Source organism: Homo sapiens, chromosome 19, assembly GCF_000001405.40.
Source record: "Homo sapiens chromosome 19, GRCh38.p14 Primary Assembly".
NCBI lineage: Eukaryota > Metazoa > Chordata > Mammalia > Primates > Hominidae > Homo > Homo sapiens.
This window is the reverse complement of record NC_000019.10, coordinates 55,717,462-55,740,564: the sequence shown is the minus strand read 5'-3', so window position 1 is coordinate 55,740,564 and position 23,103 is coordinate 55,717,462. Positions and strand designations below refer to the sequence as shown.

Below are 23,103 nucleotides of genomic sequence, written 5' to 3'. Positions count from 1 at the left end.
TTCACCATGTGGGCCATGGGTCTCAAACTCCTGGCCTCAAGTGATCCACCTGCTGCGGCCTCCCAAAGTGCTGGGATTACAGGCATGAACCACCGCACCTGGCTGATACTGTCTTTTGATGCACAAAATTTTAAAATTTTTATAAAGTCCAGTTTGTCTATTTTTTTCTTTTGTCTGTGTCATGTCATATTCAAGAAATAATCCAGACCAAATCTGTGTCTGGAAGCTTCTGCCCTACATTTTCTCCTAGGAGTTTTATACTTTGGGCCTTCCATTTAGATCTTCTTCAATCCATTTTGCATTAATTTTTGTTTATGGTATTAAGGGTCCAAGTTTATTCTTTTGCATGTGACCATAGATGGTATGTAACCTTTGCTAATGGTTTGTAATTATCTGAAAGGTATATTAGCTCAGATACAATGATATTGCGTTTGTCATCATCTCCTTATGTGTAAAGTGGTATTCCCAGGTGCACATATGCTCATGAGTTCTAGATCTTGGGGAACTGAATCTTGGTGTTCAAAAATTCTTAGTCCATTTAGTGCTTTCTAGCTTGAGTGTTTTTCAATGCTGATATTTTATACTATTAATACTTTTTTGGGTAAGAATTTGCCAGGCTTTTTCTTCTTCTGTTTTACTTCTCTGTGTATTTTCTAGGATTCTCTTATAAACAGCATATAGCAGGATTTGTATTTATCCAATGTGAGTCTATATATTAGTGAGCAATTTTATTTCATTCATATGTGTTAAGATTATATTTAGGCTGGGCGCAGTGGCTCAAGCCTATAATCCCAGCACTTTGGGAGGCTGAGGCAGGTGGATCACCTGAGGTCAGGAGTTCGAGACCAGCCTGGCCAACATGGTGAAACCCCATCTCTACTAAAAATACAAAAAAAAAAAATTAGCCGGGCATGGTGGCAGGTGCCTGTAATCCCAGCTACTTGGGAGGACGAGGCAGGAGAATCATTTGAACCTGGGAGGCAGAGGTTGCAGTGAGCTGAGGTCATACCATTGCATTCTAGTCTGGGCAACAAGAGTGAAACTCTATCTCAAAATACATATCTATATATATTTGGTATTATTTTTGCCACCTGTCTTATTTTGTCTACCATATATTTCTACTTCATTTCCTGTCTTTTGTTGAATTGCAATGATTATCTGAAGGGTTTATAATACTGGGAACGTTCACTGCTCTGTTTCTGTCTGAGTTGTCTGCAGATGCTAACCTATAGTAAATCTAACTTTTTCCTTATATACTGTAATAAGAAGGCATATACCGGCCGGGCACGGTGGCTCATGCCTGTAATCCCAGCACTTTGGGAGGCCGAGGCGGGTGGATCACGAGGTCAGGAGATCGAGACCATCCTGGCGAACACAGTAAAACCCCATCTCTACTAAAAATACAAAAAAATTAGCCGGGTGTGGTGGCAGGCACCTGTAGTCCCAGCTACTCAGGAGGCTGAGGCAGGAGAATGACGTGAACCCGGGAGGCAGAGCTTGCAGTGAGCCGAGATTGCGCTACTGCACTCCAGCCTGGGCATCAGAGCGAGACTCTGTCTCAAAAAAAAAAAAAAAAAAGAAGGCATATACCACTAAACGATAAAAAAAAATTTAAATTTGCTTTTATGTCCTCTTCCTTTATTTTCATCTTCCTGAATGTGATCATCTGTAATTTTAATATCCGTTCATTTTTTCATTATCAAAATTGGATTAGACTATACTAAGGATGGGAAGGTCTACAGAGCAAACAAACTCATAGAATGCTGGTAGGAATGTCAGTAATTATATACACAAGGGAAAACCGTTGAGTGTTATGTAGCAAACATGGTGACCTGTGTTTGCTGTTTGACCTATAATTTATAAATCTAGAGAAATGTGTGCTTATATACACCAAACTACACAAAAACACTTGTTCCTGGAAGCATCATTTATGTCAGACAAAAACAAGACACATAAGTGGCAGTCAACTCTACCATTCACATGCATTTGTTTGGAAAAAGATGAAGCTTCTTCCCTAGATGATGTTTGGTGCAAGCTACGCATGATGATATCAATAATTTTGAGCTGCTTTCAGCTGCTGAAGCTTAACTCTGTAATCATGTCATTCTTCTCCAGGTATCATTTATTCTTTATTTTTGAGGATCTTTCTTTTCCCTCTGGAGACACCTCAGTTCACAATCCTGGGGCGATATGGCAGAATCTTTTTTTTCGGATTTTGGCTTGTTGTGGTATCTGAAGGAGCTCAGAAAGGAAGAGTTTTGGAAATTTAAGGAGCTCCTCAAACAACCTTTGGAGAAATTTGAACTCAAGCCAATCCCCTGGGCTGAGCTGAAGAAGGCCTCCAAAGAAGATGTAGCAAAGCTGCTGGACAAACATTACCCAGGAAAGCAGGCATGGGAGGTAACACTGAACCTGTTTCTACAGATCAATAGGAAAGATCTCTGGACAAAGGCTCAGGAAGAGATGAGAAGTAAGTGCTGGATGATGGGGCGAGGACCCATGGGGGAAGCCTGGGAACAAGGTGATAGCATTGTTAAATGAGTGGCCACCCCCTCCATCAGATGAGAATGTGTGTGGGTCAAGGTGAGAGTTGAAGGTAGGAAGAGTTGCAGGCCAGGGCTGTTCATATGTGGGCCAGCGATGAACTGGGGACAGATGGCGTCCTGATACCAACTGTTCACCTATGGAGTGTCTTCCCATTTTTCCACCCCAAGTGGAGTCGTTGTTATAGGAGATGAGTGGCCAGTTAGTGTCTGCATTGCCAGGTCTACTGAGATGGAATTCTAGTATGGTAGTTGCCTATCTTTTTTTTTTTTTTTTTTTTTTTTTTAGAGAAAGGGTCTTGCCATGTTGCTCAGGCTGGTCTTGAACTCCCAGGCTCAAGTGATCCACCTGCCTAGGCATCCCAAAGTGCTGTGATTACAGGAGTGAGCCACCATGCCTAACTGCCTGTCCTTTTTGACCAGACATGTACCAAGGAGTAGGTAGAATCTTAAGACAATCAGACAGCGTATGTCCCGGGTACTACAGGAAGCATTCTTGCGAGCTTGTTTGGAGGTTCTAGTAGGGGAGCACAGCTTCTCTTCTGCCCGCGATGGAAGGACCTTCCTCTATGGGCAAAGGTTGTCATCGTCTTTGACCCAGGGGAGACTTTCAGGACGGACGCATATGGAGCAGTGAGGGAGGAAGTGGACACCCACCCAGCTGGCCACATCAGCCGAATTAGCCCTGGGGCGACCAATGGGGTGACAGACATCACAGCCAGGTTGTCCTCACGTCCTGGAAGCATTCTTTCTGCATAATGTCTTTTCATTCTTATCACAACCCAGGAAAGGTTTACAAGTGAGAAAACTGGACAAAACAGTGTTCCCATGTGTTACATGACTTTTCCAAAAGTGACAGATCTGACTCCGAACCAGTTCTGCTGGACTCATTGATGGGGTCTACACCCTCCTCTCGGGGGATACTTAGGAAAAACTAAATATATTCCCTATTAGGTATCTAGTAATTAGCATTTGTTTCTGATGATTGTTATCTTCTCCCTTTACTTTTGAGTTCCATCAACTTCTGTTACGTTTACTTCTGTTTTGTTCATGTTTCTTCTTTGTGTTGGTAATTCTAATTTGAGACCTTATTTCGTATCCCCACATGCTTGAGGGTATTTTATTTGGTTTGGAGTTGCTTGCTGTGTTAGTTTTTTGTTTTTTTTTTTGTTTTTGTTTTATTTTTTTGAGACGGAGTCTTGCTCTGTTGCCCAGGTTGGAGGGCAGTGACATGATCTCGGTTCACTGCAACTTCTGCCTCCCAGGTTCAAGCGATTCTCCTTCCTCAGCTTCCCGAGTAGCTGGGATTACAGGCATGCACCACCACGCCCAGCTAATTTTTGTATTTTTAGTAGAGACGGGGTATCACCATGTTGGTCAGGCTGGTCTCAAACTCCTGACCTCAGATGATCCTCCTGCCTGGGCTTCCCAAAGTGCTGTGATTACAGGTGTGTGCCAGTTTTCTTTATCTGTGTGGTTCGTGTCTTTGACTTTTCTGCTGATTAATGTTCTATGTTGGCAGATGAAAAAATGACCGAGTCAGTGTCTGAACTGAGAGTTTCTCACTTGGGACACTGAGGTCCTAAATGTTATAAAAATCTCTAAGACATGACATGACTTTTTTCTTTTTTGAGACGGAGTCTCGCTCTGTCGCCCAGGCTGGAGTGCAGTGGCGCGATCTCAGCTCACTGCAAGCTCTGCCTCCCGGGTTCCCACCATTCTCCTGCCTCAGCCTCCCAGGTAGCTGGGACTACAGGCGCCTGCCACCACGCCCAGATAATTTTTTGTATTTTTAGTAGAGATGGGGTCTCACCGTGTTAGCCAGGATGGTCTCGATCTCCTGACCTCATGATCCACCCACCTCAGCCTCCCAAAGTGCTGGGATTACAGGCGTGAATCATCAGTTTTAAATAACCTTGCTTATGAATTTTGTCTCAAAAAAAAACCTTGGAGGTCAGCAAATGTTTACTATGGGCAAATATAGAAAGTGAATAATATAATGATAAATCCATTCAATTAAATAGCATAGGGTTTTGCCAGGCGTGGTGGCTCACACCCGTAATCCCAGCACTTTGGGAGGCTGAGGTGGGCGGATCACCTAAGGTCAGGAGTTCGAGACCAGCCTGGCCAACATGGTGAGACACTCTATCTACTAAAAATACAAAAATTACCCAGGCGTGGTGGTGCACGCCTGTAATCCCAGCTACTCGGGAGGCTGAGGCACGAGAATCACTAGAACCCGGGAGGTGGAAGTTGCAGTGAGCCACAATCACACCACTGCACTTTAGCCTGGGCCACAGAGTGATGAGACTCTGTCTAAAAAAAAAAATTTTTTAATAAATAGCATAGTGTTTTGTGATGAAAAATGTGCATGAATTTAGAAAGATGTCCATAATATATTGTTCAGTCAAAAACCATGTTTGAAAATAGTATATACAGTATAATTCTACTGTAGAGAGAAAAATCGGGCAGAAGAAAAATGTAGAGTAATACAGACACAGATCAAGCTATGAGCCATGATTACATACATTGATGACATTTTGGAATGGCCTTATTTCCTTTCTCTTTATCTGCATATTTTTTAATTTAATTTTTTAATAGAGATGGAGTCTCACTATGTTGGCCAAGCTCGTCTTGAACTCCTGGCCTCAAGTGCTCCTCCTGCCTCAGCACTCCCAAAGCGCTGGGATTACCGGCGTGAGCCACCGTGCCTAGCATGTATGTTTTAAATTCAAGACAGTTTTACAATATTAATTTTATACAAAGTCAGTCACTGCTCAGAGACTTGAATAACTCCTGTGCGACGGTGTTAAAGGGATATAGCGGAGAATAAAGTGGATGCTGTTCCCTCCTGTGATGTCCACAGACGAGTGTGCAAGGAGAGCACAGACCATCGGTGGAACCGTCCCTGCCTTCCTGTGAGCGACTGTAGGGCCCCTTTGCAATCTCCTTCCGTCCAGTCCCTTCCCAAGACTCAAAATTTTTCTGAAATTTGAAAACTCAGATTATGAACAGGATTTTAATTCTTCTCCCTTCCCCATTTCTCATCACTCATTAGATAAACTTTGCATAAAATATATATTTTGTGGCTGGGCATGGTGGCTTACGCCTGTAATCCCAGCACTTTGGGAGGCCGAGGAGGGCAGATCACCTGAGGTCAAGAGTTCAAGACCAGCCTGACCAACATGGTGAGACCCTGTATCTACGAAAAATACAAAAATTAGCTGGGCGTGGTGGCAGGTGCCTGTAATCCCAGCTACTTGGGAGGCTGAGGCAGAAGAATCGCTTGAACCCAGGAGGCGGAGGTTGCAGTGAGCTGAGATAGCGCCATCTCACTCCAGCCTGGGGGACAAGAGCGAGAGTTCATCTCAAAAAAAAAAAAAATATATATATATATATATGTGTGTGTGTGTGTGTATGTGTATGTATATATGTGTATATATGTATATGTGTGTATATATGTGTGTGCGTATATATGTATATATATATATATATGTGTGTGTGTATATATATGTGTACTTTGCTGACAGGTGACCTGCTATCATCAGTTTAATTAAAGAAAATGCAGAAAGTAGGGGAAGGTTATTATATAGACAAGACCAATTTTAGAAACAATTGATATAGTAATTTTTTTTTTTTTTTTTTTTTTTTTTTTTTTGAGATAGAGTGTCAGGCTGTTGCCCAGGCTTGAGTGCAGTGGTGTAATGTTGGCTTATTGCAATCTCCGCTTCCTAGGTTCAAGCAATTCTTGTGCCTCAGCTTCCTGAGTAGGTGGGACCACAGGCACGTACTGGTTGACAGCCGGGCGCGGTGGCTCACGCCTGTAATCCCAGCACTTTGGGAGGCCAAGGTGGGTGGATCATGAGGTCAGGAGATCGAGACCATCCTGGCTAACACGGTGAAACTCCGTCTCTACTAAAAATACAAAAAACTTAACCATGCGTAGTGGCGGGCGCCTGTAGCCCCAGCTACTCGGGAGGCTGCGGCAGGAGAATGGCGTGAACCCGGGAGGCGGAGCTTGCAGTGAGCCGAGATCCCGCCACTGCACTCCAGCCTGGGCGACAGAGCGAGACTCCGTCTCAAAAAAAAAAAAAAAAAAAAATTTGGTTGACAACTGGTTGAGTTTATCTAAAGACCTGGGATCAAAATAAAGGAAATGTCTGGGTTAAGATAAAGGATTGTGGAGATCCACATCCTTATTTGCACAGGAGACCTTCAGAGAGAATAGGTTGTAAAATGTTTCTTATCAGACTTCAAGCCTGTGTTCCTGTTAATGGAGAGGTACAAGGAAGTATGTCTGACCCCCACTTCCCATCATGGCGTGAACCAGTCTCTCAGGTTAAATTTTAAAAGCACCCTGGCTTCAGATGGCTGGCGAGTATTAGAATTTTATTTTTGGTTTACAGTTCTCAGAAGTATAAAAGAATGAGTGCATTTTTACCTATCTTATATCCTGTTCTCATTAACACAGATAAGCTAAACCCATACAGAAAGCATATGAAGGAAACATTTCAACTCATATGGGAGAAGGAAACCTGTCTTCACGTCCCTGAGCATTTCTACAAAGAAACCATGAAAAATGAGTATAAAGAATTGAATGACGCATATACTGCTGCGGCTAGACGACACACTGTGGTCCTGGAAGGTCCTGATGGAATTGGAAAAACAACCCTTTTAAGAAAAGTGATGTTGGACTGGGCAGAGGGAAACTTATGGAAGGACAGGTTCACATTTGTGTTTTTCCTCAATGTCTGTGAAATGAACGGTATCGCAGAGACCAGCTTACTGGAGCTCCTCTCTAGGGACTGGCCGGAGTCTTCAGAGAAGATCGAAGACATTTTTTCCCAGCCAGAGAGAATTCTGTTCATCATGGATGGCTTTGAGCAACTGAAGTTTAACTTACAACTTAAGGCTGACTTGAGCGATGATTGGAGGCAGCGGCAGCCAATGCCAATTATCCTGAGCAGTTTGTTGCAAAAAAAGATGCTTCCAGAATCCTCTCTCCTTATTGCATTAGGAAAACTGGCTATGCAAAAACACTATTTTATGTTGCGGCATCCAAAACTCATAAAGCTCTTAGGATTCAGTGAATCTGAAAAGAAGTCGTATTTCTCCTACTTCTTTGGTGAGAAGAGCAAAGCCCTGAAAGTCTTCAATTTTGTGAGAGATAATGGGCCGCTGTTTATCTTGTGCCATAATCCCTTTACGTGCTGGTTGGTCTGTACTTGTGTGAAACAGAGGCTAGAGAGGGGAGAAGACCTTGAAATAAACTCCCAAAACACCACCTATTTATATGCATCCTTTTTAACAACTGTATTCAAAGCAGGAAGTCAGAGTTTTCCACCTAAGGTGAACAGAGCCCGACTAAAAAGCCTGTGTGCTTTGGCTGCAGAGGGAATTTGGACATATACATTTGTATTTTCCCATGGGGATCTCCGGAGGAATGGGTTATCTGAGTCTGAGGGCGTGATGTGGGTGGGTATGAGACTCCTCCAAAGGAGAGGGGACTGTTTTGCCTTCATGCATCTGTGTATCCAAGAGTTTTGTGCCGCCATGTTTTATTTGCTCAAACGACCCAAAGACGATCCTAACCCGGCCATTGGAAGCATAACCCAGCTTGTAAGAGCAAGTGTGGTTCAGCCTCAAACCCTCTTGACCCAGGTGGGGATATTCATGTTTGGAATTTCAACAGAAGAAATCGTCAGCATGCTGGAGACCTCCTTTGGTTTTCCACTGTCAAAAGACCTAAAGCAGGAAATAACCCAATGCCTTGAAAGTTTAAGTCAATGTGAAGCTGATAGGGAAGCCATAGCTTTCCAGGAACTATTCATTGGTTTGTTTGAAACTCAGGAAAAAGAATTTGTAACCAAAGTGATGAATTTCTTTGAAGAAGTTTTCATTTATATTGGTAACATAGAACATTTGGTAATAGCTTCATTCTGCCTGAAGCATTGTCAACATTTAACGACACTTCGCATGTGTGTGGAGAATATCTTTCCAGATGACTCAGGATGCATCTCAGAGTGAGTCTGTCTATTAATCCCCCGTCCCACACACTACACTTGGAGTTTGCTCTAGTGGCCTGTGGGTATTTCATGGGCCTTATGCCACTGTGCTTAAAAGCATGGAGGTCGGAGTCAGAAAGCCTTCCTTTCGAGCCTTGGCACTGCTGTGGGATCATGAGCTGCAACTTCTTGAACTTTTTCCATTGTATAAAGAGAAATAAAAGTTTTGTCTACTTCATAGGGCTCGTGTGAGATTAAGAGGCGGCTAGCAGGACTTTTTTTTTTTTTTTTTTGAGACGGAGTCTTGCTCTATCACCCAGGCTGGAGTGCAGTGGCGCGATCTCGGCCTACTGCAACCTCCACCTCCCAGGTTCAAGCGACTCTCCTGCCTCAGCTTCCCAGGTAGCTGGGATTACAGGTGCCCGCCACCACGCCCGGCTAATTTTTGTATTTTTGGTAGAGACAGGGTTTCACCATGTTAGCCAGACTGGTCTTGAACTCCTGAACTCAGGTGATCCACCCATCTCGGCCTCCCAAAGTGCTAGGATTACAAGCATAAGCCACCGCGCCTGGCCTTGCTTGCTTCCTCCCTCCCTCCCTCCGTTCCTTCCTCTTTTTTTCTCTCTTTCTTTCCTTTTCTTCTTTTTTTTTTTCACCATTTTTATTGTTGTCAGACTGTGCTTTTCTTTTCCCCCTCCATAGCTTGTGCGGTATCCCCCAGTGACCCCACTGAGAGGGGACTCCTGGAAGTTCGTGCCTTGTTTCCTCTGCATTTTTTCCATATGCCTTTTCCCTCTGCTGATTTTGCCTTGTATTCTTCCATCGGGTTCAGGTTACCAGCTCATACGTTAGCTCTCAGATACATGCTGCTGTTCATGATAACATTTTTGGATACAGTTCCCTGTTCACTGAGGGGTCACCAAATAACCCTTGTTCACAGAACAATCGAGTATTCACATCTAAACGAGGAGGAAATGAAGCAGAATAAGGTTGAATAGCTTGTCCAGGGTCACATAGTTACTAAATGTTTACACCAGAGTTTGATTCCAATCAACTACTCTTGTCTCAGGATCCACTTTCTTTTTTTTTATTTCCAACTTTTAAGTTCAGGGATACATGTGCAGGATGTGCAGGTTTGTGACATAGGTAAGCGTGTGTCATGGTGATTTGCTGGGCAGAGCATCCCATCACCCAGGTATCAAGCCCGATATCCACTAGCTATTCTTCCTGATGCTCTCCCTCCTCCCAAGCCCCACACTCCAACAGGCCCCAGTGTGTGTGGTTCCCCTCCCTGTGTCCATGTGTTCTCATCATTCAGCTCCTACTTACAAGTGAGAACATGTGGTATTTGGTTTTCTGTCCCTGCATTCGTTTGCTAAGGATAATGGCCTCCCGCTCCATCCATGTCCTTGCAAAGGACATTATCTTGTTCCTTTTCATGGCTGCATAGTATTCCATGATGTATATGTACCACATTTTCTTTATCCAGTCTATCATTGATGGGCATTTAGGTTGATTCCATGTCTTTGCTATTGTAAATAGTGCTCCTTTTTTTTTTTTTCTTGAGGCAGGGTCTAGCTCTGTTTCCCTAGCTTAGTGCAGTGGCATGATCATAGCTCACTTTAGTCTTGTACTCCTGGGTTCAAGTGATTCTCTCACCTCAGCTCCCAAATAGCTGGGACTACAGGTGTATGCCACCACATCTGTCTAATTTTTTAAATTTTTAATAGAGATGGAGTCTTGCTATGTTGCCCAGGCCGTCCTCAAACTCCTAAGCTCAAGCGATTCTCTTGCCTTGGCCTCTCAAAGTGCTGGAATTACAGGCTTGAGCCACTCTACCTGGCCAGGGCCTACTTTCTAACTATTATGTCATGTTGGCTCCGTTTACCTGGCTGACCTTCTCCCTGTTCAGGCCTGGGTGTCTGTCAGCTTTGAGGTGCTTTGGAAATGGTGTTCGACCTGTTTTGAGAATGTCTTGAATTGAGTTTAGCCACTGGAGAATCACAATCTTTGTTCTCTCATAGTTACAATGAGAAGCTCGTCTACTGGCGGGAGCTTTGCTCAATGTTCATTACCAACAAGAACTTCCAGATTTTAGACATGGAAAATACCAGCCTCGATGATCCCTCCCTGGCGATTCTTTGCAAAGCGCTGGCTCAGCCTGTTTGTAAACTCCGAAAACTCATGTAAGTTTTATGTTAACCTGTCCTTTAAGCAAATGGCAGAGTTTCCTTCTCTCTACTGTGGCCTTTTTGGAAGAAGACCCATGCATAAATGCAGAGCGGCAATCCAGTGTGTTAAATGTAGTGACATGTACATGTATGTTTATTGCGGCACTATTCACAATAGCAAAGACTTGGAACCAACCCAAATGTCCATCAATGATAGACTGGATAAAGAAAATGTGGCACATATACACCATGGAATACTATGCAGCCATAAAAAAGCATGAGTTCATGTCCTTTGTAGGAACATGGACGAAGCTGGAAACCATCATTCTCAGCAAACTATCGCAAGGACAAAAAACCAAACAACGCATGTTCTCACTCATAGGTGGGAATTGAACAATGAGAACACATGGGCACAGGAAGGGGAACATCACATACCGCAGCCTGTTGTGGGGTGGGGGGAGAGGGAAGGGATAGCATTAGGAGATATACCTAATGTAAATGACGAGTTAATGGGTGCAGCACACCAACATGGCACATGTATACATAAGTAACAAACCTGCACGTTGTACACATGCACCCTAGAACTTAAAGTATAATAAAAAAAAAAAAAAATGTAGTGACATGTAAAATGAAATCTAGTTGGAGGGCCAGAGAGCGAGCAGTCCTGGTTAGGGATGACCTTTGCTTGGATGTGAGTGGATGGAGAATAGATGTTTCTCAGGTGAGAAAGGAAGAGTGCTGAGGACAGACAGAAAAATAGCCTTAAATTTGTAAAAAAAAAAAAAAAAAAAAAAAGAAAAAGAAAAATAAGATAAGCATAATGGTAGCATTCATAAAACAGAGTGCTGATGTGCAATATTTTCTTCCGTTTCTTTTAATCCTAATAAAGTTTTTATTATTACTTTTATACAAATAATGTATGAGAGGATAGAAACACAGTTGTTCCCTGATATTTTACTTATCTTGATTTGCCTGGGCCATGCTGTTCTCTTCACCCCTGTAAGCAAACTTACTGCTTTCAGGTTAAATTTAAGTCTTCCTTCAGCTTGAAAAGTCATGTCATCACGGAAGACTTGCTATGCTCCCAAAGCACCTTATACATCTTTTTGGTAAGAGTTATTGCGTTGAATTATTGGCCCACATATTTGTGCAGAAAAAAGTTAACATAGCAGACGTTAAGACTGCTGTCTCGAGAAAGGCCTGTTTGCTAAGTTGGTCCTTGGCTGATGTCTTTTTTGTTTGTTTGTTTTTGTTTTGTTGTTGTTGTTGCTTTGAGACGGAGTTTCGCTCTTGTTGCCCAGGCTGGAGTGCAGTGGAATGATCTCGGCTCACCGCAACCTCCACCTCCCGGGTTCAAGCGATTCTCCTGCCTCAGTCTCCCGAGTAACTGGGATTACAGGCATGCACCACGACGCCTGGCTAGTTTTTGTATTAGTAGAGACGGGGTTTCATCATGTTGGCCAGGCTGGTCTCAAACTCCTGGCCTTGTGATGCGCCCGCCTCGGCCTCCCAAAGTGCTGGGATTACAGACGTGAGCCACCGCACCTGGCCTGGCTGATGTCTTGAAACTTGGACTTTGGGAGAGTTTCCACCAACCTGACTGATAAGAATGGTTCACTGTTCGTAAATTCTACCGGCACTGTGGTTTATACTGAATGTCTGGTTTCCTTCAGTGAGTTTTGAATTTTGGTTCATGCTAGGCAGAGGGTGCCTATATGACAAGCCCCAGTAAAAACCACGGACATTGAATCCTTAATGAGCTTCCCTGGTAGATGACACTTCACATGTGTTCTCACATTTTGTTGCTAGAGGAATTTATTGTGTCCTGGTGATCCCACGGGGAGAGGACTCTTGGAAGCTTCTGTCTGGTTTTCTCTGGATTTTTCCTATGTTCCTTTTCCCCTTGGTGGTTTTTCCTTTGTGTGCTTTTGCTGAAATAAATCATAGCCATTGTAAGACTGTATTGCAAGTCGTACAAGGTCTCCTAGCAAGTCACCAAAGCTAGGAGTGATCTTGGGGAGCACAGTGTTTCTCTGTTGACTAAACCTCCATGATGGATGGGGATGCGTTTACCCTCACATCCTCAGCATCTAGAAAAATACAAAGCCTTGTAGGGGCTCACTAAACATCCATAGAATGAATGTGTGCTGAAAATAATGAAGGAACTGACTCAAAAGAATTTCTAAAGATCCCACATGGAGAGTAAAAAGTGGACCTCACTGAACTGTTTTTTTTCTGGAAAATGTTAAAGTAGGGGACTGGCTTGATTATAACGCATAAGCAGTATCTGAATTTCAATGGGATATGTGAGGGATACTAGCAAGGAAGAGGTGGTTAGTGGTCTTGCAATGAAGACATTTGTCATTGATTTTTGTTTTATAAATTCAGTCTCAAAGCACAAGAAGTCATTGATTTTCACATGAGGTCAATGGTAACATGAAGCAGAACAGTAATCTGGATAAACCTGGGTGAAGGCGTGAATTAAGATGCACGTGTCCTTCCTAGGAACCTTAGGTTACAAAATGAGGACATTAGTGCTTCTTCACAGTGTTGATGACAGAATAAATAATTGATCTTTTATTTAAAAAAACTTTTTTTGAGATGGAGTCTCTGCCGCCCAGGCTGGAGTGCAATGGCACAATCTCAGCTCACTGCAACCTCCGCCTCCCAGGTTCAAGCAATGCTCCTGCCTCAGCCTCCCAAGTAGCTGAGATTACAGGTGCCCCCCACCACACCTGGCTAATTTTGTATTTTTAGTAGAGATGGGGTTTCACTATGTTGGCCGGGCTGGTCTCAAACTCCTGACCTCATGTGATCCACCTGCCTTGACCTCCCAACTCATTGATATTTTACACAAGTCCTTTAGTTCAGTGTCTAGTAAAAACATCATTAGATTCATTTTAAGTTGTCCAGAAATGATAGAGACAGTTTGGTCATTTCTCTTCAAAGGTATCTAGCCACATGCCTTGAAATTGAAAAATGTTTTTCCTTCTCTTTTCTGTTGTGTATATGAATGATAAATGCAATTGCTGAGACGATGGAGAATCAGAAGCCAGAGCTCATTCCTTCAACATCGATTCTAATGCCTCCCCAAGGTTAGGGTTTAGGGAACATTGGAGGTATCATTCAACTGCCATCACTCACATGGAATGGTTAGTTCAGATCCTGTTCTATTTATCAACTTTTTTTCCCTCATAGTTAAGGAAGAAGTTATACTTGAGAAAAAGTGATAATAGTTTCTGGAAACAGAGTGGCATCAGTAGAGGCTGAGAGAAGTAGATTGATTCCTTGGGTTGTAGGGCAGACTAATAACAGATGGATCAATATGTTCCAAACACACATACCTCCAGCGGTCCTTAATCCCTAACGCTGGGGAGGCATTGGACTCAAAGTTGAAGGAATGAGCCCAGGCTTCTGCTTCTTTATTCATCTCAGCAATTGCATTTTTTATCATTTTATGTGTAGAAAAAGGAAAAAGTTGACAAGGCAAATAGTCAACAAATGGTATCATAATCAACTCTTCTATTTTAGTTTGCCCCTTTTCCATGAGGTTGATTATCCTGAAATGGCGATGATTCCTGATTACATGTTCATCTTTGTGACTGTTTTCCCACCATATTGTCTGTTGACTCGATTGTTTGCTGCTGGCTGACGGTTGGCATTCACTGCAGCTGCCTAGCTAACCAATCCCGGTGCTTTCATGAATGTGGTGTGGTGGCTTGGAGGCCGGATATTCCTGTCCTTTTTGCCACCACCTCCCGCTTATTCTCACAGGTGTCTCCAGAAATCAAGGGGGTTTGCTGTTTTTCTTTTTTTTTTTCTGAGACAGTCTCGCTCTGTCCCCTAGGCTGGAGTGCAATGGTGCAATCTCGGCTCACTGCAACCTCCACCTCCTGGGTTCAAGCAATTCTCCTGCCTCAGCCTCCCCAGTAGCTGGGACTACAGGTGCCCGCCACCACGCCCAGCTAATTTTTGTATTTTAGTAGAGATGGGGTTTCATCATGTTGCCCAGGGTGGTCTTGAACTCCTGAGCTCAAGCAATCCACCCACCTCAGCCTCCCAAAGTGCTGAGATTACAGGCGGGAGCCACCGCGCCCGGCCTGGGTTCCCTGTTTTCATGTGGTAGCACTTCCACCTGTTAGTGGGTCAGGCTCTGCTCACCCTCGCCGCACAGATCCCTGTACACCTCACCGCCCTGTCACCAGCTCCTGGCTTCCTTTATCTCCGGGCAGGTGGTACCTGGGTGTCACTCAGACATTTAGGGGATCACTCCGCCCGCAGTCCGCACAGTTCCTCCAGCCTGCTGTTCCCCTCTGTGATCTGCCCTTATCTGTGTTTTGATTCTGGCCTACTCAAAATTTCCATTCTAGTTTTTGAACATGGTAAAAGTATTTACTTTTAAAATTCTCTGTCATTTCTTAAAGTTGACTAGGAGAGAAATCAGGGTGCGCTCATCTGCTGTAACGCCAGGAGTCACATAGAGCAAGTTCTGTGTGTCATGTATTTATTCTTACGTGTGTCTGGTTTGTAAATACACATTTATCAGGCTAATAAATACATATTATATATGGTTTATACATAAATTTTGTCTGGATTTTAAGTACATATTCTGGTTTTGTATTTATCTGGTAAATATGTACATATCTGGCTTATAGACACATATTTGTAGTTACGTATTTGGTTTATAAATACACATATATGGCATATACATGTAGATATTAAAATAAAAGCCAGCATGAATTGACCATGTTCCAGGCATTACAATAAATGCTCATTTCTTTTTTTTGAGACACAGTTTCACTCTTGTTGCCCAGGCTGGAGTGCAGTGGCACCATCTCGGCTCACTGCAGCCTCCGCCTCCTGGGTTCAAGTGATTTTCCTACCTCAGCCTCTTGAGTGCCTGGGATTACAGGCACACACCACCATACCCAGCTAATTTTTTGTATTTTTAGTAGAGACGGGGTTTCGCCTTGTTGCCCAGGCTGGTCTCAAACTCCTGACCTCATGTGATCTGCCTGCCTTGGCCTCCCAAATTACAGGTGTGAGTCACCATGCCTGGCCTTAAATGTTAATTTCTTAATTACCATGACCATATCTTTCATGAAGAGACTGGGCCACACAGCCATTAGGTCATTTGCCCAATCTTGCAAAAGCAACAAGGAGAAAAGCAAAATGTGAAATCCAGTTTCCTGTAACTCTGGAGCCTGAGTTTTTTGACACTACATAACATTGTCTCTTTTATTAAAAAAAAAAAAATCTTAATTTTAAAACAGAAATGGGTTATTTCCTTGGGTAACACAGTTTTGCTTGGAGCATTAATTCAGATATGTGTGCGTCATTTTATGTGAGGCATTAATCACATTAATCTCAGAATACAAAGAGGTACAAGTATAGTTTGTTCCTGTCCCCATGGGGCTCGGTTTAACATGGGATTCGGCTGACTCGTTCTCCTTCTATGTTTGGAGTTATGTAGAAGTGGAGGGGCTAGGAAGAAACAGGAAAGTTCTAAGCAGCTTGAGCCTCTGTGCTGTCTGGTGTCTAAAAACCCCATCGAGAAATAATTTACTGGCAGGAGTAACCAGAATTCCAGAAACAGTGTGGTGAGGCCCAGCATTCAGGGCAGGAAGAATCGTACAAGAGGTGTCTGTCTTTGTGCTGGGATCTCATTGCATGATGCTATTTTTTTTTTAATCTTTTGCAGATTTACTTCTGTGTACTTTGGACATGATTCAGAATTATTTAAGGCAGTTCTTCACAACCCTCATCTGAAACTTCTGAGCCTGTACGGCACTAGCCTCTCCCAGTCTGACATCAGACACCTGTGTGAGACGCTGAAACATCCAATGTGCAAGATAGAAGAGCTGATGTAAGTCCGGGCTGTTCATGCCGAGTGCTGTTTCTTTCCAAGGTGGGCTTTGCAGTTTGATTTTCTTGTTTTCCTTCCTGGAGGGTCATTGCATCAGCCTTCATCTCTCTTGTTTTTCATCTTTTGAATCTGTCTCTCTCATAAGGTGAAGGTAGATTCTGCCGGGCAAGGCCTCCTCTCAGAAGGTTTGTTTCCGCCTTCCCATCTCTAGTACTCACTTTAATTACTTCTTTTTTTTTTTTTTTTTTTTTTGAGACAGGGTCTCACTCTGTTGCCCAGGCTGGAGTGCAATGACGCAATCTTGACTCACTGCAACCTCAGCTTCCCGGGTTCAAGCAATCCTCCCACCTCAGCCTCTCAAGTAGCTAGGATTACAGGTGCACGCCACCATACCCAGCTAATTTTTGTAATTTTTTGTAGAGATGGGGTTTCACCATATTGCCCCGGCTGATCTTGCACTCGTGGTCTCAACCAATCTGCCCGCCTTGACCTCCTAAAGTACTGGGATTACAGTACTTCACATGAGCCACTGCATCCAGGCTCATCTCACGGACACCTCCCTTGATACTTCCTGGTTCTGCCCTCAGGCAACCAGGCCAAAACAAGAACAACATTTTTTTTTCCCTAAAGATATTTATAGAAACTTGAAACTGAAGCATGTTAATGATCACAAGTGTGATCGTCTGATTTGGCAGTTGACAGCATTAAAGCCAGGGGGAGAATGACTTGCCCAAAGTAATTTCTTCCTCTTGAACATTGTCAGAGCAGCCCCTGTCCTAACTGGGTGATTTCCAGGCAGAGCCAATCTATCTTTCTTTTTCTATTATTATTATTATTATACTTTAAGTTCTGGAGTACATGTGTACAACGTGCAGATTTGTTACATAGGTATACATGTGCCATGTTGGTTTGCTGTACCCATCAACTCGTCATTTACATTAGGTATATCTCCTAATGCTTTCCCTCCCCCAGCTCCCCACCCACCGACAGGCCCCAGTGTGTGTTGTTCCCCTCCCTGTGTCCATGTGTTCTCACTGATCAACTCCACTTATGAGTGAGAACAGGCAGTGTTTGGTTTTCTCTTCTTGTGTTACTTTGCTGAGAATGATGGTTTCCGGTTTCATCCATGTCCCTGCAAAGAACATGAACTCTTCCTTTTTTATGGCTGCATAGTATTCCATGGTGTACATGTACCATATTTTCTTTATCCAGTCTATCATTGATGGGCGTTTGGGTTGGTTCCAAGGCTGTGCTATTGTGAACAGTGCCGCAGTAAACATACATGTGCATGTATCTTTATAGTAGAATAATCACTGGCCAATCCATCTTTCCAAAGAGAACAAAGGAAGTCATTGAGGCAGCAATAAATAAAATCAGCCCACTAAACCCCCTAAGAGAATATGCTCTTCTCTCTCCCAGTTCACTGTCTTGTCTTTGCAGTAACCGTCAAAAATGTAATTGACAGATTCATCTATACTTGGTTAATTTTATGCGTCTAGACCCATCAGGAGAAAGAGGCAGGTTCTATGCATAAGGGTTGTTTGAGCTTATAGAACTGCTGTAGATCTCATTCCTTATTCAAGCTGTTTCCATATCATGGCAACTTTTTTTTTAACTTCTACTCTAACTTTCTCTTCTCAGGGGGAACTTTCAAAATTCTATAGTATTTTGCTCCATTTCATAATTATGTTATTTGCATAGGGTTTTATCTATTATACATTAACATAAGGATTGGGGAACATATCTACAATGATAGACATAATGTAGCTGGGAATGTTGCCTTTTGGGGTAAACTAACTATTCATTTACTTCAGTGTGGTATTGGTGGTGGAAGGTCTTCAAAGTCAGGTTCTCTCTAGCTCAGTAGTTCTCAATGGGGGAATTTTGTCCCTTTGGGGATGTCAATGTTTAGAGACATTTTCAATGATCACAGTTGAGTGGGGAGGGTGCTGCTGGCATCTGGTGGATAGAGACCAAGTGTATCAGTCCGTTTTCACACTGCTGATAGACATACCCAACACTGGGCAATTTACAAAAGAAAGAGGTTTATTGGACTTGCAGTTCGATGTGGCTTGGGAGGCCTCACAATCATGGTGGAAGGTGAAAGGCACATCTCACATGGCGGCAGACAAGAGAAAAGAGCTTGTGCAGGGAAACTCCCCTTTATAAAACCATCAGACCTTGTGAAACATATTCACTGTCAGGAGAACAGCCTGGGAAAGACCCGCCCCTGTGATTTAATTATCTTCCACTGGGTCCCTCCCACAACACATGGGAATTATGGGAGCTACAGGATGAGATTTGGGTGGGGACACAGAGCCAAACCATATCACCAAGGATGCTGCTAAATACCCAGTAATGTACAGGACAGCTCCCCAACAACAAAGGATTATCTAGTACTGGACTACTGAGTGCTAGCCTGTGAAGTGCCCTAGGAGAGATTAGAGTGATGCTTCTCTTCTGGTGGTGGGAGGGGGTCAGCTTGGCTAAAACAGAATGGGGTATTTGCCTAAATCCAACCCAGGGGCTCTTGTACTAGGAAAAAAACATCTAATACTGTGCAGTGGCCCTGGACAAACATTTTTATGGATACCACACCTTAATTCGTGTGTATCTGGAAACCCTTATGACAAACACCTGTTTCTCCACATCAGCCATTTTACTTTGTCATTGTTGTTTACTTTTTATTGAAAGATTATTATACTCACAGGAAATTACAATAATAGTACAGAGAAGTCCCATATACCAATCACCACCCAACTTCCACCAAAGGTAACATCTTACATAACAATAGTGCATTCTTAAAACTAGGAAACTTTACTAATGAAATGTACAAAGCTGTTTTTAAAAATATGCTTTTATGAAACTTCCAGTGAAACTAGACTTAATCAGTATCTTTTAACCAGAGGCTTCACCAGATTATTTGCCTATGAAATGAATGTGTTCCACTTGTCCCGTTTTCTCCCCAACACTTAAGGGTGTTGATCTTTTCAAATCCATTCTGCTTCGGGCATAATATCTGAGTGGTTTTAATTTGCATTTCTCTAATGACTAATAATATGAGCGCCTTTTCATTTGTTTGACTTTCTGGGCTTCCTGTTGTGATATGTCTGTTTGATGTGCTGATGTAGCCCATTGTTTTATTGGGCTGTCTTTTTCTAATTGATTGACAGGTGTTTTTCTTATATTGCGGAATGAATCCTAGGTCAAATACATGCATTGCAAATATCTTCTATGTGGTTTGGTTTTCCACATTCTTAATATCATCTTTGAATTAAGAGAGATTCTTTATCAAAACTGAATGTGTCTTTTCGTGTTCAGCTGCTTTTTGTGTGTGTTTAGGGAATCATTGCCAGGCTTGGTGGCTCATGCCTGTGATCCCAGCAGTTTGGGAGGCTGAGGCAGGAGGATTGTTTGAGGCCAGGAGTTGGAGACCAGCCTGGGCAACATAGTGAGACTCCCGTCTCTAAAAACAAAACAAAAAAATTATCTAGGTATGGTGGTGGATGCCTGTAGTCACGGCTTACTCATCAGGCTGATGCAGGAGGATCTCTTGAGCCCAAAGGTCCAAGGTTGCTGCAGTGAGCTGTCATCACGTCACTGCACTGTAACCTGAGTGACAGGGTGAGACCACGTCTCAAAAGAAAATAATTGTTTCCAAGCCCAAAGTCATAAGAATAACTTCCTGTGCATTTTTCTCTCAAAGTCTTATTGTACCATGCACAAGTGGGGCTATGACCTACTTTGAGTAAGTGTTTCTATGTAGTATAAAGTCAGGTTTAAAAAAAATTCACATATGAACACAGAATGCTGTTGAAAAACCACTTTTTCTCAAGTGAACAACAGTAGTTATCATTATAAACCAGATGACCACGGTGTATTTGAGACCAAAAATATCTGTTTTGATTTTATTTTTGTAGATTTTTTTCCCCCACACATCAGAGAATTGTAGGTTTTCTTTCACTGTTTTCTTTCTTTTGTTCTTTTACATGTTAAAGATGTAATTCCATCCCATTCAGGCTGCCATGCTTTTTCTAAATAAATCAGTATATTTCGTCCCATTGTAGGCAATGTGCTTAATGTGTCTTGTCTCTGGCTAATTTTAAGTTTCCCCTCCCACCCCCATTGTGTGTGGTTTTGGTATTTCTTTGTGTTTATCCTGCTTAAAAATTCACTGAGCTTCCTGCATTTGTGGATGAACATTTGCACAGGCTTCTGAGAACATTTTACCATGATCTCTATCTTTAAATATGGCTTCTGCTACATCTTCTCTCCCATTTCCTCTTGGTCTGACAGGAGAGATCCCCATCATAGTTTCAATCGAGAGGCTTGAAGAATGAGGAGCTTTCTATGCGGCACAGAAGATAATTAGATACAGGCATGCAATAATTAATAAAAAGTCAAAAGACTGAGGAGCTTTTAAAAAATTATCACAATGGAGAGCAAACAATCCATGCATAAACACTTGCATATGCATTGCCCTTTGAGCGGGATGGAGAAGACAGATCTGAAGGTGGCCAGGGGCCGGGCCGGGCATGGCGGATCACACCTGTCATCCCAGCACTCTGGGAGGCCGAGGCGGGCAGATCACTTGAGCTCAGGAGTTCGAGATCACCCTGGCCAACATGGTGAAACCCCGTCTCTACTAAAAATACAAAAATTAGCCGGGTGTGGTGGCAGGTGCCTGTAATCCCAGCTAGTTGGGAGGCTGAGGTGGGATCTCAGCTCACTGCAGCCTCTGCCTCCTGAGCTCAAGCAATCATTTATGAAATGTAATTGTTTTCCTGAGGTCTGTGATCCACTCTAGCAAATCAGTCTAACCCAAGGAAGGGGTCAGGGGAACCCCCATGTATAGCCGGTTGGTCAAACACAGGCAGAGCAACCCAGCGCTTGCAACTGGCATCTGAAGTCAAGGGTGATCTTGTGGGACTGAGCTCCTACCGTGTGGGATCTGACTCTCACCTAATTTAATAAATGATCTGAAAGATACAGATGTGCAGCTGGGATCTGACTCTCAATTTAATAAATGATCTGAAAAATACAGATGTGCAGCCAGATAGACACACAGGATGAGATCTGGAAGGGTCCTGAGTGTGAAGGGGGCCAGCCCCTCCACACCTGTGGGTATTTCTAGTCAGGTGGAGATGAGAGACTCAGAAAAGAAACAAGACACAGAGACAAAGTATAGAGAAAGAACAGTGGGCCCAGGGGACAGACGCTTAACGTGCGAGGACCCGCACTGGCGCTGGTCTCTGAGTTCCCTCAGTATTTATTGATCACTATTTTTACTATCTTGGCGAGGGGAATGTGGCTGGGCAACAGGTGGGGAGAGGGTCAGCAGAGAAACATGTGAGCGAAGGAATCTGTATCATGAATAAGTTCAAGGAAAGGTACTGTGCCCGTATGTGCACGTAGGCTAGATTTATGTTTCTCTTCATCCAAACATCTCAGTGTAGCAAAGAGTCACAGAGCAGTATTGCTGCCAGCATATCTCGCCTCCAGCCACAGGGCAATTTTCTCCTATCTCAGAATGGAATGAATGGGAATGGTCAGCTTTACACCTAGACATTCCATTCCCAGGGACCAGCAGGAGACAGAAGCCTTCCTCTTATCTCAACTGCAAAGAGGCCTCCCTCTTTCACTCCTCCTCCTCAGCACAGACCCTTTACGGGTGTCGGGTTGGGGGATGGTAAAGTCTTTCCTTTCCCATGAGGCCATATCTCAGGCTGTCTCAGTGGGGGAAACCTTGGACAATACCCAGGCTTTCTCGGGCAGAGGTCCCTGCGGCTTTCCGCAGTGCATTGTGTCCCTGGTTAATCGAGACTGGAGGATGGCCATGACTTTTACCAAGTATACTGCCTGCAAACATATGGTTAACAAGGCACATGCTGCACAGCCCTAAATCCATTAAACCACGTGTTTCTGTGAGCACAGGGTTGAGGCTAAAGTTATGGATTATCAGCATCTCAAAACAGAACAGTTTTTCTTAGTACAGATCAAAGTGGAGTTTCTTATGTCTTCCTTTTCTACACAGACACAGTAACAATCTGATCTCTCATTCTTTTCCCCACACGAGTGCAGGAGCATCTGTCCCTGTGGAGCTGGGGCGTGGCGTGTGGATGTGTTTGCCAACCTGGACGCTCTCTGAACCACATTCTTGTAGGATTTTTATGGAGGTTTCATCACACAGGCATAATCGATCAACTCTGTGTCTAGCTCCTCTGGGAAGTGTCAGGATTGGGTTAAGTTTTAGGACACCTACTTAGTGGCTGCAAAAGAGCTGCCCTCCCGTCTCCGGCCACAGAAGCGTGTTGCGCTGAGTGTGTGAAAGTAGGAAAAAAAACACAGTTTGGGTTTTCCTATTTCTTGTAGTGCTATTGACAGAGAGTCAGATTTATCGAGTTCTGGATACTTCTTTGTGGCAGGGTCTGTCCTGTTCACTAAAGGACGTTGAGCAGCATTCCTGGCTGCCTCCATCGTGACAGCCAATAATATATGCAGACATTTCCACATGTCTC

The 23,103-nt window shown here is 43.4% G+C and overlaps 1 protein-coding gene and 1 pseudogene across 1 annotated transcript in view; one reads left to right on the top strand and one right to left on the bottom strand.

Annotated features, from left to right (window-relative positions):
- Positions 2,163 to 23,103, top strand: part of NLRP9 (NLR family pyrin domain containing 9) — a 29,965-nt gene continuing 9,024 nt past the window's right edge. The window contains exons 1-4 of the mRNA NM_176820.4: positions 2,163 to 2,470; positions 7,015 to 8,566; positions 10,573 to 10,734; positions 16,421 to 16,585. Of these exons, the coding sequence (NP_789790.2) occupies positions 2,191 to 2,470; positions 7,015 to 8,566; positions 10,573 to 10,734; positions 16,421 to 16,585 (2,159 nt within the window). The 5' untranslated portion in view covers positions 2,163 to 2,190. The remainder of the gene's footprint in view (positions 2,471 to 7,014; positions 8,567 to 10,572; positions 10,735 to 16,420; positions 16,586 to 23,103) is intronic.
- On the bottom strand, positions 2,965 to 3,280 carry RN7SKP109 (RN7SK pseudogene 109; annotated as a pseudogene).